Source organism: Homo sapiens, chromosome 13 (genome assembly GCF_000001405.40).
Source record: "Homo sapiens chromosome 13, GRCh38.p14 Primary Assembly".
NCBI classification, from domain to species: domain Eukaryota; kingdom Metazoa; phylum Chordata; class Mammalia; order Primates; family Hominidae; genus Homo; species Homo sapiens.
The window spans coordinates 46,212,590-46,227,236 of record NC_000013.11 but is presented as its reverse complement, the minus strand read 5'-3'; the positions used below and the strand labels follow the sequence as shown (position 1 = coordinate 46,227,236).

At 39.5% G+C, this 14,647-nt stretch overlaps 1 protein-coding gene across 22 annotated transcripts in view; it reads right to left on the bottom strand.

Annotated features, from left to right (window-relative positions):
* LRRC63 (leucine rich repeat containing 63) overlaps positions 1 to 14,647 on the bottom strand; it is a 65,188-nt gene that overhangs the window by 49,879 nt on the left and 662 nt on the right. For 17 of the 22 annotated variants that reach the window (XR_007063660.1, XR_941519.3, XR_007063667.1 and 14 more), the window contains exon 1: positions 14,118 to 14,359. The exons of 3 other annotated variants lie outside the window; for them this stretch is intronic. Coding sequence is in view for 6 of the 19 variants with exons in the window: in XM_047430137.1 (XP_047286093.1) it covers positions 14,118 to 14,202 (85 nt within the window). In the remaining 13 variants the exon portion in view is untranslated. Of the gene's footprint in view, positions 1 to 265; positions 1,022 to 14,117; positions 14,360 to 14,647 lie in introns of those variants that run through there. 2 more of the 22 variants (NM_001282460.2, XM_017020423.2) reach the window with 2 other exon arrangements.

Genomic DNA, 14,647 nt, shown 5'->3' with positions numbered 1-14,647 from the left:
ATAAGCTCCAATAATAGACTAGATTTTTGAGAGGTTATCACTAAAACTCTGGCAATAGGGATGGATACAATTGATGAAGTTTTGCTATTTATCATACATCATTAGCTCTCCCTCATTTGAAATTTCCTTGACCAAAGATTTACATTTCTTTTAAATGCCAGATGTCAGACCAATGTGTCTTTTGAAGATGATAACAATCTGATAGTGGTTACAGGTGCCATAAGCTCATTTAGGTTATAACAATAAGTATTCTTTTCTATCTTACGTCCAGAAAATCCACTGAGCTTGCATTCTTAGGCAGGAATCATATATGCCTTTTCTTTCCTATGCAACAGAATGTGAAATGACATTTTTCTGTTCTCTCAGCTGAGTGCAATAAATGATGAGGATCTGTACATTCAAATGAGGAGATAATAGATTCATTAAGGCAAAATTTGCCAAGGGGTGGCCAAAATTAGTCCTTCAACACTTCACCCTTTACCCATCTGTTGTCTATATGGGATTGCTAGAGACTGATCTGAGTTTGGAGACAGTATTTCTTCTGAACAGAGCTATTGGAGTTCTATGCATTTCCCTGATTTTTCCCTCCCCATGGAGGGTGTAGGAGGGATGATGTCCCCTATCTCAAACCAAGTGAGGGAGACTTTTTATAGAGAAGAGGAATATATGCCACAAGGAGAAAGTAACATCTCACTCTTCCCCTATCCACCTCCCTGACTGATACTTGTAGAACAGCAAAATGTATTGGTTTACTAGTGCTGTTTCCTGATCAGAGTAATATAAGAGAATCATTTTAACTACTTGACTTGTATCTCCTGACATTTCCATGGGGTACAAGACTGATGCTGATTCTCACTTTAATTTTTAACTTTTTAACAACTTAACTCTTCCCCACACCTTGCCCCACTTATAGAGGAACCAAAAACTATAATATGAGTTGAGAAAGAGAGTAGGGCCAGGCACAGTAGCTCATGCCTGTAATCCCAGCACTTTGGGATGCTGAGATAGCAGGATCGCTTGAGGCCAGGAGTTCAAGACCAGCCTGGGCAACATAGCAATACTCCTATCCCTACAAAAAAAAAATAATTAGCCAAGTGTGGCATCATGCTCCTGTACTCCCAGATACTCAGAAGGCTGAGGTGGGAGGGTACCATGAGCCCAGGAGATTGAGGCTGCAGTGAGCCATGATTGTACCACTGCACTTCAACTTGGGTGACGGAGTGAGACCCTGTCAAAAAAAAAAGAAAAAGGAAAAATGAAAAGAATAGAAAAAGAGAGTAAAAAAATAGGGTTGAAGAACTGATCAGGCCCCTCCTTCCCTTGGCTTGTGTAAGAATTAGCAGGCCTAGGTTGAGCTTGGAGAAGGGACACAGTCTGATTGTACACTATATGGAAGTACTAATTTAGATGAAACAAGTAATTCAATATCTGAAAATGAGATAGAGCTAATTGACAAAACTGACTAGAAAAGCTTTTAGAGAGATACATATGCCACATGAGATTGAAGGGCAGTAGTAAGAAAATAATGTTTGCTTCCTACTTAAGTGGAACTAATTAAAGCTAACTGATTCAATAAAATAGCTATACCAATATATTTAAGTTCATTTTCTCTCTATTAAAACAAAACACATTAACACAGCAAACGCTTCAATAGACTCCAGAACTCCTTCCAACTACCACCATCTCACCATATTTATCCTTCCCTTTAATGGCAAACTGGAGTAATTTATACTCATTAGTTTGATTTCCTCTCCCACCGGCGGAAGAGTCTCTGTTCTCAGGCTCACACATAGAGAACAGGACATCTCCTCCTCCTCCACACACCCACTTCTGCTACTGCTGCTGAAGCCTGGGGCAGGTGATCCAGAGACCTGCTTGACTGAGGCTCTAAGTAGTGACTACAACCTCACAGTGTAACATGGCCTGCATGCCTGGGATCTGGAGTGAAAGCAAGGTTCTTCCTCCTTTCACATGGCACTGTAGCACTGCTGCTGCAGAGAGCAGAAGAACCTGAGAACAGCATGTCTGGAACTGTGGGTGGTGACCTGTAGCACAGCCACCACCAACACCAGCCCACAGCATGCAGGACCCAGAGGGTCATTCACCACCTCTACTGCCATGACCCATAGCACAATTGTTTCCCAGCGACGTGAGAACCTGTTCAGTCACCTAGCCCACTGCTGCCACTACCAGCATCCATGCAAACCACCTAAGGCCCAGGAACCGGCCCACCAGTAACTGCCAACACAGGTGCCAGCATACACCACTCTGGGGCACAAAGATAGGTAGAGTCAGCCTACTCTTGCCACCCTTGGGGCCTGTCCCCAGCACAACTTCACCACAGCCTTCACTAATAATTGCAGCCTAATCCTCTAAGGAAATCACTGAAAGCATTAATGCTATTTATAGCCAAAGAAATCATACAGAGACTACACTACTACATGTACTCAGAATCAAAGCCAAAGTGCCCTACCCAACCAACACCACAGATACATCTTCAGAAAAAAGTCCTACCCTATGGAAGTGAATTAAAAAATAGGAAGATGCAACTGTTACACCAGATACACAGATATCAATATAAAGACACAGAAAACATCAAAATACAAGGAAATATGAAACTTCCAAAGGAAAACAAGAATTCTCCAGTAATAGATCTTAATCAAAAAGAAGTTGCTGAAATCCCAGAAAAATAATTCAAAATTTCAATTTTAAAGAAGCTCAGTTAGATACAAGAGAATTCTAGAAAATACAAACAATTCAGAAGAAGAATTCAGGATATGAATGAGAAATCTACCAAAGAGATAGATAGATATTTTTAAGAAAGAACCAAATAGAAATTCTGGAGCTGAAGAATTAATTGAAGAAAATATAAAATATATTTGAAAGCTCCAATAATAGACTAGATCAGGCAGAAGAAAGAATCTCAGAACTTGATGACACGTCTTTTGAAATAATCCAGTCAGACAAAAATAAAGAAAAAGAACCTAAAAGAATCCGCAAAGGCTTTGTGATATTTGGGACAACATAATGTGATCAAATATTCAAATTATTGGCATCCCAGGGGCAAAGAGACAAAGGAAGGACTATAAAACCTATGTAATTAAATAATAGAAGAAAACTTCCCAAGTCTAGCAAGAATTTTAGACATTCACATTCAGATATAGGAGCTTCAATAATCCCTAGGCAAACACAATGCAAAAATGTCTTCCCCATGGCACATTATAGTGAGACTGCCTAAAGTCAAAGATAAAAAGCATACCCTTTAAAAAGCAAGAGAAAAGCATCTGGTCACCAATAAAGAAACCCCATCAGACTAACAGTGGATTTGGATTTCTGTGGGTTTTTTTTGTTTTTTGTTGTTGTTGTTTTGTTTTTGTTTTTGAGACAAGGTCTTGCTCTGTTGCCCAGGCTGGAGTGCAGTGGCACAATCTCAGCTCACTGCAACCTCCACCTCCCATGTTCAAGCGATTCTCCTGCCTCAGCCTCCCAAGTAGCTGGGATTACAGGCCCACACCACCATGCCCAGCTAATTTTTGTATTTTTTTAGTAGAGACGGGGTTTCACCATGTTGGCCCAGGTGGTCTCGAACTCCTGACCTTGTGATCCACCCACCTCGGCCTCCCAAAGTACTGGGATTACAGGCGTGAGCCACTGTGCCTGGCCTTAACAGTGGATTTCTTAGCAGAAATTTCACAGGCTAAAAGAGAATGAGGTGATATATTCAAAGTGCTGAAATTAAAAAAAAAAAAAAACAAAAAAAACTGTCAGCCAAGAAGAGTCTACCCAGCAAAATTATCCTTCACAGATGGAGGAAAAATAAAGTATTTCCCAGACAAGCAAATGCTGAGGAAATTTGTTACAACCAAGAGTGACGCTACAAGAAATGCTCAATGGAACAGAATACAGAATCCTGAAATAAAGTCACATACTTACAGCCAACTGATCTTCAACAACACTGACAAGAACTGACACTGGGGAAAGGACACCCTTTTTATATTTTTTTTCTTTTTTTTAATTTTATTATTATTATACTTTAAGTTTTAGGGTACATGTGCACAATGTGCAGGTTAGTTACATATGTATACATGTGCCATGCTGGTGTGCTGCACCCATTAACTCGTCATTTAGCATTAGGTATATCTCCTAATGCTATCCTTCCCCCCTCCCCCCACCCCACAACAGTCCCCAGAGTGTGATGTTCCCCTTCCTGTGTCCATGTGTTCTCATTGTTCAATTACCACCTATGAGTGAGAACATGCCGTGTTTGGTTTTTTGTCCTTGTGATAGTTTACTGAGAATGATGATTTCCAATTTCATCCATGTCCCTACAAAGGACACGAACTCATCCTTTTTTAAGGCTGTATAGTATTCTATGGTGTATATGTGCCACATTTTCTTAATCCAGTCTATCATTGTTGGACATTTGGGTTGGTTCCAAGTCTTTGCTATTGTGAATAGTGCCTCAATAAACATACGTGTGCATGTGTCTTTATAGCAGCATGATTTATAGTCCTTTGGGTATATACCCAGTAATGGGATGGCTGGGTCAAATGGTATTTCTAGTTCTAGATCCCTGAGGAATCGCCACACTGACTTCCACAATGGTTGAACTAGTTTACAGTCCCACCAACAGTGTAAAAGTGTTCTTATTTCTCCACATCCTCTCCAGCACCTGTTGTTTCCTGACTTTTTAATGATTGCCATTCTAACTGGAGGATACCCTCTTTAATAAACAGTGTTAGGAAAATTGGACAGCCATATTCAAAAGAATGAAACTGGATCCCTATCTCTTACCATATACAACAATCAACTCGAAATGGATTACAGAGTTAAACTTAAGACCCAAAACTATAAAAATACTATAAGAAGACCTAGGTAAAACTCTCCTGGACACTGGTCTAGGAAAATAATTTATGACTAAGACCTTGTTGAGTGGGAGAAAATATTTGCAAACTATCCATACCACAAGGTACTAACATCTAGAATATACAAGGACCTCAAACAACTCAACAGGAAAAAAAAAATCCCCTTAGAAAACAAAAAATCCCCTTAGGCATGACATGAATAGACATTTCTGAAAAGAAGACATACAAATGGCCAACACTTATATTTAAAAATGTTCTATATCACTAATCATTAGAGAAATACAAATTAAACCACAATGAGATATTATCTTACCCTAGTCAGAATGGCTGTTATTAAAAAGATAAAAAATAACAGATGTTAGTGAGGATGCAGAGAAAAAGAAACCCTGAAGGTGTGTGTTCTCATCAGCTGTTCACTGTACGCCTGACAACCTTCCACTCCCAGTACAATCTCAGCCTAGCCATTCCATGTTGCTCTAGGGGTCTGCTTTGGCAACTCCCAACAAATAAACTATATTGAAAACGTCCAAGGCCTGAGATGGGTTCTGGAAATCTGCAGTCCTCCACAGTCATTCACACCAATGTCCCCTTCTTTCTTCCAACAGACCCCCACTCCCCAGTAGCAATGGGTTAACCTCTGCTGACTCAGAACCAAGTCTTGAACTTGAAGACAAAATTTGAACTTTGATCCATATGGCACTTGAGAGACAGCAAAATATCACAGTCCCATATACTTATGAACCCCTCTCTTCAAACCCAATGTCATGAAAACAAAATGGGAAAATAAAAATTAAAAAAAGTTTTTCCCCTGATTATCACTGCCATCGTCCTAGTCTTCAGAGTTAATTTCCCATTGGTTTTCTGATATTGTCATACCATGTTTTCGCTGAATTATCAGAATCGGTATTAATTCAGATTTCTTAGTTTGGGATATAAAAATCTAAGTGAACAGGATCTACTTTACCTCACCTTTTTGTGTGATGACTCATAACTTTCCAATATGAAGCCTTATTTACTGCAATTATTTCTGACAACCAAAAAGGCCCAATTGCTCATGTATGACTTCATTTCATATGTTCATCATGCTATGTGGAAAATCTTCTCTTATCAACCAATTCAAATCATTTTTTTCTTTCAAAGTCTACCTTAAACCCTATGCAATCCATCCTTCTTTGATAATACAACACATATTTATTGTTCTCATCAATTCATTCAATAAACATTTAACACCTACCATGTGCCAGCTGTACACATAGTGCTGGGGGTACAATGATATAACACAAACCTTACTACCAACAAATATCTCACAATTTAGTATAGAAACTAGGCAGGTAAACAGTTATAATAAGTGGTGCGTAGGAGTAAGTATGGAATACTATGGGAGAAAAGAAAAAGGCAGTCTGATTGGGTAGAGAAGCGATGCTTAAAGAAATCTTCCCAATATGGAGGGCGAGCCAAAGCAGGGTGCGGCGTCACCTCACCTGGGAAGCATAAGGGGTCCGGGAGCTCCCAACCCTAGCCAGGAGAAGCCTTGAGGGACTGTGCCGTGAGGAATGGTGCACTCCAACCCAAAAACTATGCTTTTCCCATCTTCTTCACAACCTCTAGACCAGGAGATTCCCTCAGGTGCCTACACCACCAGGGCCCTGGGTTTCAAGCACAAAACTGGGTGGCCATGGGGGCAGACATCGAGCTAGCTGCTGGAGTTTTTTTTTTTTTTTCATACCCCAGTGGTGCCTGGAATGCCAGAGAGATAGAACTGTTCACTACCCTGGAAAGGGGGCTGAAGCCAGGGAGCCAAGTGGTCTAGCTCAGTGGATCCCACCCCCATGGAGCTGAGCAAGCTAATCCACTGGCTTGCAACTCTCACTGCCAGCACAGCAGTCTGAAGTCGACCTGGGACACAAGCTTGGTGGGGGAGGGGCGTCTGCCATCACTGAGGCTTAAGTAGGCAGTTTTCCCTGCACAGTGTATACAAAGCCACCAGGAAGTTCAAACTGGGTGGAGCCCACTGCAGCTCAGCAAAACTGTGGTAGCCAGACTGCCTCTCTAGATTCCTCCTCTCTGGGCAGGGCATCTCTGAAAGAAAGGCAGCAGCCCCAGTCAGGGGCTTATAGAGAAAACTCCTTTCTCCCTGGTACAGAGCACCTGGGGGAAGAGGCGGCCATGGGTGCAGCTTCAGCAGACTTAAATGTTCCTGTCTGCCAGCTCTGAAGAGAGCAGCGGAGCTCCCAGCACAGCACTTGAGCTCTGCTAAGGGGGACAGACTGCCTCCTCAAGTGGGTCCCTGACCCCCGTGCCTCATGACTGGGAGACACCTCCCAGCAGGGGTCGACAGACATCTCATACAAGAGAGCTCCAGCTGGCATCTGGTGGGTGCCCCTCTGGGATGAAGCTTCCAGTGGAAGAAGCAGGCAACAATCTTTGCTGTTCTGCAGGCTCCGCTGGTGATACCCAGGCAAACAGGGTCTGGAGTGGCCCTTCAGCAAACTCCAGCAGACCTGCAGCAGAGGGGCCAGACTGATGGAAGGAAAAAATAACAAACAGAAAGGAATAGCATCAACATCAACAAAAAGATGTCCACACAGAAACCCCATCCGAAGGTGACCAACATCAAAGACCAAAGGTAGATAAATCCACGAAGATGAGGAAAAACTAGCACAAAAAGGCTGAAAATTCCAAAAACCAGAATGCCTCTTCTCCTCCAAAGGATCACAACTCCATGCCAGCAAGGAAACAAAACTGGATGGAGAATGAGTTTGACAAATTGACAGAAGTAGGCTTCAGAAGGTGGATAATAATAAACTCCTCTGAGCTAAAGGAGCTTGATCTAACCCAATGCAAGGAAGCTAAGAACTTTGAAAAAAAGGTTAGATGAATTGCTAACTAGAATAACCAGTTTAGAGAAGCTAAATGAACTGATGGAGCTGAAAATCACAGCACAAGAACTTCGTGAAGCATACACAAGTATCAAAAGCCAAATCGATCAGCAGAAGAAAGGATATCAGAGACTGAAGATCAACTTAATGAAATAAAGCATGAAGACATGATTAGAGAAAAAAGAATGAAAAGGAACGAACAAAGCCTCCAAGAAATATGGCATTATGTGAAAAGACCAAACCTACATTTGATTGGTGTACCTGAAACTGACAAGGAGAATGGAACCAAGCTGGAAAACACTCTGCAGGATATTATCCAGGAGAACTTCCCCAACCTAGCAAGACAGACCAACATTCAAATTCAGGAAATACAGGGAACACAACAAAGATACTCCTCGAGAAGAGCAACCCCAAGACACATAATGGTCAGATTCACCAAGGTTGAAATGAAGGAAAAAATGTTAAGGCAGCCAGAGAGAAAGGTCGGGTTACCCTCAAAGGGAAGTCCATCAGACTAACAGCGGATCTCTCTGCAGAAACGCTACAAACCAGAAGAGAGTGGGGGCCAATATTCAGCATTCTTAAAGAAAAGAATTTTCAAACCAGAATTTCATATCCAGCCCAACTAAGCTTCATAAGCAAAGGAGAAATAAAATCCATTACAGACAAGCAAATACTGAGGGATTTTGTCACCACCAGGCCTGCCTTACAAGAGCTCCTGAAGGAAGCATTAAATATGGAAGGTAAAAACTGGTACCAGCCACTGCAAAAACATACCAAATTGTAAAGACCATCAACACTATGAAGAAACTGCATCAACTAAAGGGCAAAATAACCAGCTAGCATCATAATAACAGGATCAAATTCACATATAACGATATTAACCTTAAATGTAAATAGGCTAAATGCCCCTATTAAAACAGACAGACTGGGAAACTGGATAAAGAGTTAAAACCCATCAATGTGCTGTATTCAGGAGACCCATCTCACGTGCAAAGACACACATAGGCTCAAAATAAAGGGATGGAGGAATATTTACCAAGCAAATGGAAAGCAAAACAAAAAAAAGCAGGGGTTGCAATCCCAGTCTCTGATAAAGCAGACTTTAAACCAACAAAGGTCAAAAGAGACAAAGGAGGGCATTACATAATGGGTAAAGGGACCAATGCAACAAGAAGAGCTAACCATCCTAAATATACCCAATACAGGAGCACCTGGATTCATAAAGCAAGTTCTTAGAAACCTTCAAAGAGACTTAGACTCCCACACAATAATAATGGGAGACTTTAACACCCCACTGTCAACATTAGACAGATCAACAAGACAGAAAATTAACAAGGATATTCAGGAGTTGAACTCAGCTTTGGACCAAGAAGACCTAATAGACATCTACAGAACTCTCCACCCCAAATCAACAGAATATACATTCTTCTCAGCACCACGTCGCACTTATTCGAAAATTGACCACATAATTGGAAGTAAAACACTCCTCAGAAAATGCAAAATAACGGAAATCACAACAAATAGTCTCTTCAGTGCAATCAAATTAGAACTCAGGATTAAGAAACTCACTCAAAACTGCACAACTACATGGAAACTGAACAACCTGCCACTGAATGACTACTGGGTAAATAACGAAATTCAGGCAGAAATAAATAAGTCCTTTGAAACCAATGAGAACGAAGACACAATGTACCTGAATCACTTGGACACATTTAAAGCAGTGTGTAGAGGGAAATTTATAGCACTAAATGCCCACAGGAGAAAGCAGGAAAGATGTAAAATTGACACCCTAACATCACAATTAAAAGAACTAGAGAAGCAAGAGCAAACAAATTCAAAAGCTAGCAGAAGACAAGAAATAACTAAGATCAGAGCAGAACTGAAGGAGTTAAAGACATGAAAAACCCTTCAAAAAATCAATGAATCCAGGAGCTGGTTTTTTGAAAAGAGTAACAAAATAGACCACTAGCCAGACTAATAAAGAAGAAAAGAGAGAAGAATCAAATAGACACAATAAAAACTGATAAAGGGGAGATCACCACTGATCCCACAGAAATACAAACTACCATCAGAGAATACTATAAACACCTCTATGCAAATAAACTAGAAAATCTAGAAGAAATGGATAAATTTCTGGACACATACACCCTCCCCAAGATGAAACCAGGAAGAAGTCGAGTCCCTGAACAGACCAATAACAAGTTCTGAAATTGAGGCAGTAATTAATAGCCTACCAACCAAAGAAAGCCCAGGACCAGACAGATTCACAGCCGAATTCTACCAGATGTACAAAGAGGAGCTGGTATGATTCCTTCTGAAACTATTCCAAACAACAGAAAAAGAGGGACTCCTCCCTAACTCATTTTATAAGGCTAGCTTCATCTTGATACCAAAACCTGGCAGAGACACAACAGAAAAAGGAAAATTTCAGGCCAATATCCCTGATGAACATCGATGTGAAAATCCTCAATAAAATAGTGGCAAACCGAATCCAGCAGCACATCAAAAAGCTTATCCACCACAATCAAGTCGGCTTCATCCCTGGCATGCAAGGCTGGTTCAACATACATAAATCAAATCAATAAACATAATCCATCACATAAACAGAACCAATGACAAAAACCACATAATTATCTCAATAGATGCAGAAAAGGCCTTTGATAAAATTCAACACCACTTCATGCTAAAAACTCTCAATAAACAGGTATTGATGGAACATATCTCAAAATAATAAGAGCTATTTATGGCAAACCCACAACCAATATCATACTGAATGGGCAAAAGCTGGAAGCATTCCCTTTGAAAACTGGCACAAGACAAGGATGCCCTCTCTCACCACTCCTATTTAACCTGGTATTGGAAGTTCTGGCCAGCACAATCAGGCAAGGGAAAGCAATAAAGGGTAGAGGAAGTCAAATTGTCTCTGTTTGCAGATGACATTATTGTATTTTTAGAAAATCCCATTGTCTCAGCCCAAAGTCTCCTTAAGCTGATAAGCAACTTCAGCAAAGTCTCAGGATACAAAATCAATGTGTAAAAATCACAGGCATTCGTATACACCAATAACAGACAAACAGAGAGCCACATCATAAGTGAACTCCCATTCACAACTGCTGCAAAGAGAATAAAATACCTAGCAATACAACTTACAAGGGAGGTGAAGGACCTCTTCAAGGAGAACTACAAACCACTGCTCAAGGAAATAAGAGAGGACACAAACAAATGGAAAAACATTCCATGCTCATGGATAGGAAGAATCAATATCGTGAAAATGGCCATACTGCCCAAAGTAATTTATACATTCAATGCTATCCTCATCAAGCTACCACTGACTTTCTTCCAAGAATTAGAAAAAACTACTTTAAATTTCATATGGAACCAAAAAAGAGCCCACATAGCCAAGACAATCCTAAGCAAAAAGAACGAAGCTGGAGGCATCACGCTACCTGACTTCAAACTATACTACAAGGCTACAGTAACCAAAACAGCATGTTACTGTTACCAAAACAGACATAGAGACCAATGGAGCAGAACAGAGACCTCAGAAATAATGCCACACATCTACAACCATCTGATCTTCGACAAACCTGACAAAAACAAGCAATGGGGAAAGGATCTCCTGTTCAGTAAATGGTGCTCGGAAAACTGGCTAGCCATACACAGAAAACTGAAACTGGACCCCTTCCTTACACCTTATACAAAAATTAACTCAAGATGGATTAAAGACTTAAATGTAAGACCTAAAACCATAAAAACCCTAGAAGAAAACCTAGGCAATACCATTCACAACACAGGCATGGGCAAAGACTTCATGACAAAAACGCCAAAAGCAGTGGCAACCAAAGCCAAAACTGACAAAATGGGATCTAGTTAAACTAAAGAGCTTTTGCACAGCAAAAGAAACTGTCATCAGAGTGAACAGGCAGCCTACAGAATGGGAGAAAACTTCTGCAATCTACCCATCTGAAAAAGGTTTAATATCCACAATTTACAAGGAACTTAAACATATTTACAATAAAAAAAAACAAACCACCCCATCAAAAAGTGGGTGAAGGATATGAACAGACACTTCTTAAAAGAAGACATTTACATAGCCAACAAACATATGAAAAAAAGCTTAACATCACTAATCATCTGAGAAATGCAAATCAAAACCACAATGACATACCATCTCACGCCAGTCAGAATGGCAATTATTAAAAAGTCAGGAAACAATAGATGCTGGCAAGGCTGTGGAGAAATAGGAACACTTTTACACTGTTGGTGGGAATGTAAATTAGTTCAACCATTGTGGAAGACAGTATAAGGATTCCTGAAGGATCTAGAACCAGAAATACCATTTGATCCAGCAATCCCATTACTGGGTATATTCCCAAAGGAACATAAATCATTCTACTATAAAGACACATGCACACGTATGTTTATTGCAGCACTGTTCACAATAGCAAATACATGGAACCAACCCAAATGCCTGTCAGTGATAGACTGGATAAAGAAAATGTGGTACATACACATCATGGAATACTATGCAGCCATAAAAAGGAATGAGATTATGTCCTTTGCAGGGACATGGATGAAGCTGAAAGACATCATCCTCAGCAAACTAACACAGGAAAAGAAAACCAAACACTGTGTGTTCTCACTTGTAAGTGGGAGTTGAATACTGAGAACACATGAACACAGATTGGGGAACAACACACACCAGGGCCTGTTAGTGGGTGGAGGGTGAGGGGAGAAAACTTAGAGGATGGGTCAATAGGTGCAGCAAATCACCATGGCATATGTATACCTATGTAACAAACCTGCACGTTCTGTGCATGTATCCTGCTTTTTTTTTTTTTAGAAGAAATAAAAAAACAAATTTTGATCACCTACTATGTGCAAAGCCCTCTGTCAAGAGCCTTTGGAGCAAGAGAGCTCTGCTTTCCCCACCAAAAAAAAGGAACCATCCAACCTAAAATGTCAATAGTGCCAAGGTTGTGAAATTCTGTACTAGAAGATAAACTTTAAACAAAAGATGAATGGAGAAACTACAAGATAACTGGTAACCTTGAGCTGTAAATCTGCATACTGTATTATTACAGAACAGATTGTAAATGCAGAACATTATAGAAATGTAGAAATGATGATGTAAAAATCATGTAACAAAAGTTGGGAGAGAAAGTAGGAGAGGAAATTGTGGCAGTATTACAGGTAAGTTGAGTTACCTACTGTTAATAGCCATAGGTCAAAAGATGATAATTTAACATTATAAATCAAGTTATAGACTAGGTATATTTGAACAGTATAAATGTTGACACTAAAACTGCAATCAACTAAAATCAGATGGAAGAGGAAACTGAGAAGGGGAAAATGAGAAAATATGCTAATTGTATTGCTTATAATAAGGAGGGAATAGAAACCATACAACAGAAATAGAGGATTAAGCATTAGATAAAGTTATAGTTATAAAAGTGGCTCATCTTTACTTCATAGCACTTATCACAGGGTAATTTTGCATTTACTTATATGATTGATTGATTACAATCAGTATCCCAGTGGGTAACTAATGAAGGGAACAGGTAAGGTCTGTTTTTGCTCACTAAATATATTCGGTCCTTGTTATTTGCAGTAGTTCTGTTCTACAAACAATGAATTACTCATTACTGAACCATTTCTCCTGGAAGAAATATGGGGCTAGGTTCCTGCAAACCTCTGGTTTCAACATTTTCATCAACTGATCAACACTAATTTTGTTTTATATTTGTTTCTATTTAAAGACACTTTAATAAATATAAACAGTTGATTTGTTAACATTGAACTTAGGGCCAACAACACTACTCACACCTGAAGGAAACTTATCTAACACATATCTTGTTCTCTGTAAGGCCCATCACAGCCTTCTTGTGCTCAGGAACACTAGACAGTACTTCAACACTATGCTTGGGGCCCACAGTGAAATCACTAACTAAAAGCACAAACATTCAAGAAACATAGAGCTAAACAGACAGGGAAAACAGTACCCGTTTACAATATGAGAGCTGAAACAAGAAGGTAGAGGTAGCCTTGTTCCACCTCAGCTGGAGGCATGTGTGTTGGGTGACTCATTTTCAGTGCTCTGCACATATCCACGCATGACTGAGAAAGCCCTTTGAGTACCAATTCTGGGGTTACAAGTAAATTTTATCGATGAGATAAACTTGAATCTACTAAGTCCACCAATAAGTATCAGTAAATGCATCTGTGGAATTGAATTGGATGTTATCACCTGACAACAAACATTTGTAAGTTATTAGTGAGTGTATTTATTGTGATTCTGAGCTGTGCAAGTCAAGGAATTTCTATGAAAGATACATAAATGTTAATACACATATCTGATTAATACACATACCTGTATGGGTTTTTTTCTCATGTAAAGACAGCTTAGTGAATTTTGGAGGTAAGGGTCTTCGAAGAAGCAGTGGGGGCTTTTGCATTTTAATGAATAATAAGTGCTGTTTTTCATAATCCTTGGTTTAAATGAGAATTGAAAAGGTTTTGAATATGTTTGAATTGTTGAAAAATAATAAGAATTTAGATTACATCTTAAAGAAAATCATTCTGTACCAATACTCTACTGAATCCAGGCAGAATTCCTTTATGAAAAAAAAAGAGGGTAAGAAAATAATTCTTTAAAACTTCTATTAATAGAAAGAATCCAGTTAAAATGTAGGGTTATAAGTAAACATAGAATTTTAAAAATATGTGTATTATTACTACCCAGGATCATTCTACAATTTTCCATGTTAGTACAAAGTTCAATTTGCCAATGCTATTTCAACTAGTAAATACTGATTTTTCAGAATAGTCGAAATGACATTTTTTTTCTCTCTCTCCAAAATGTTATCGCTATAAATGTAGAAAGAGAATTTGGTCAGAAAT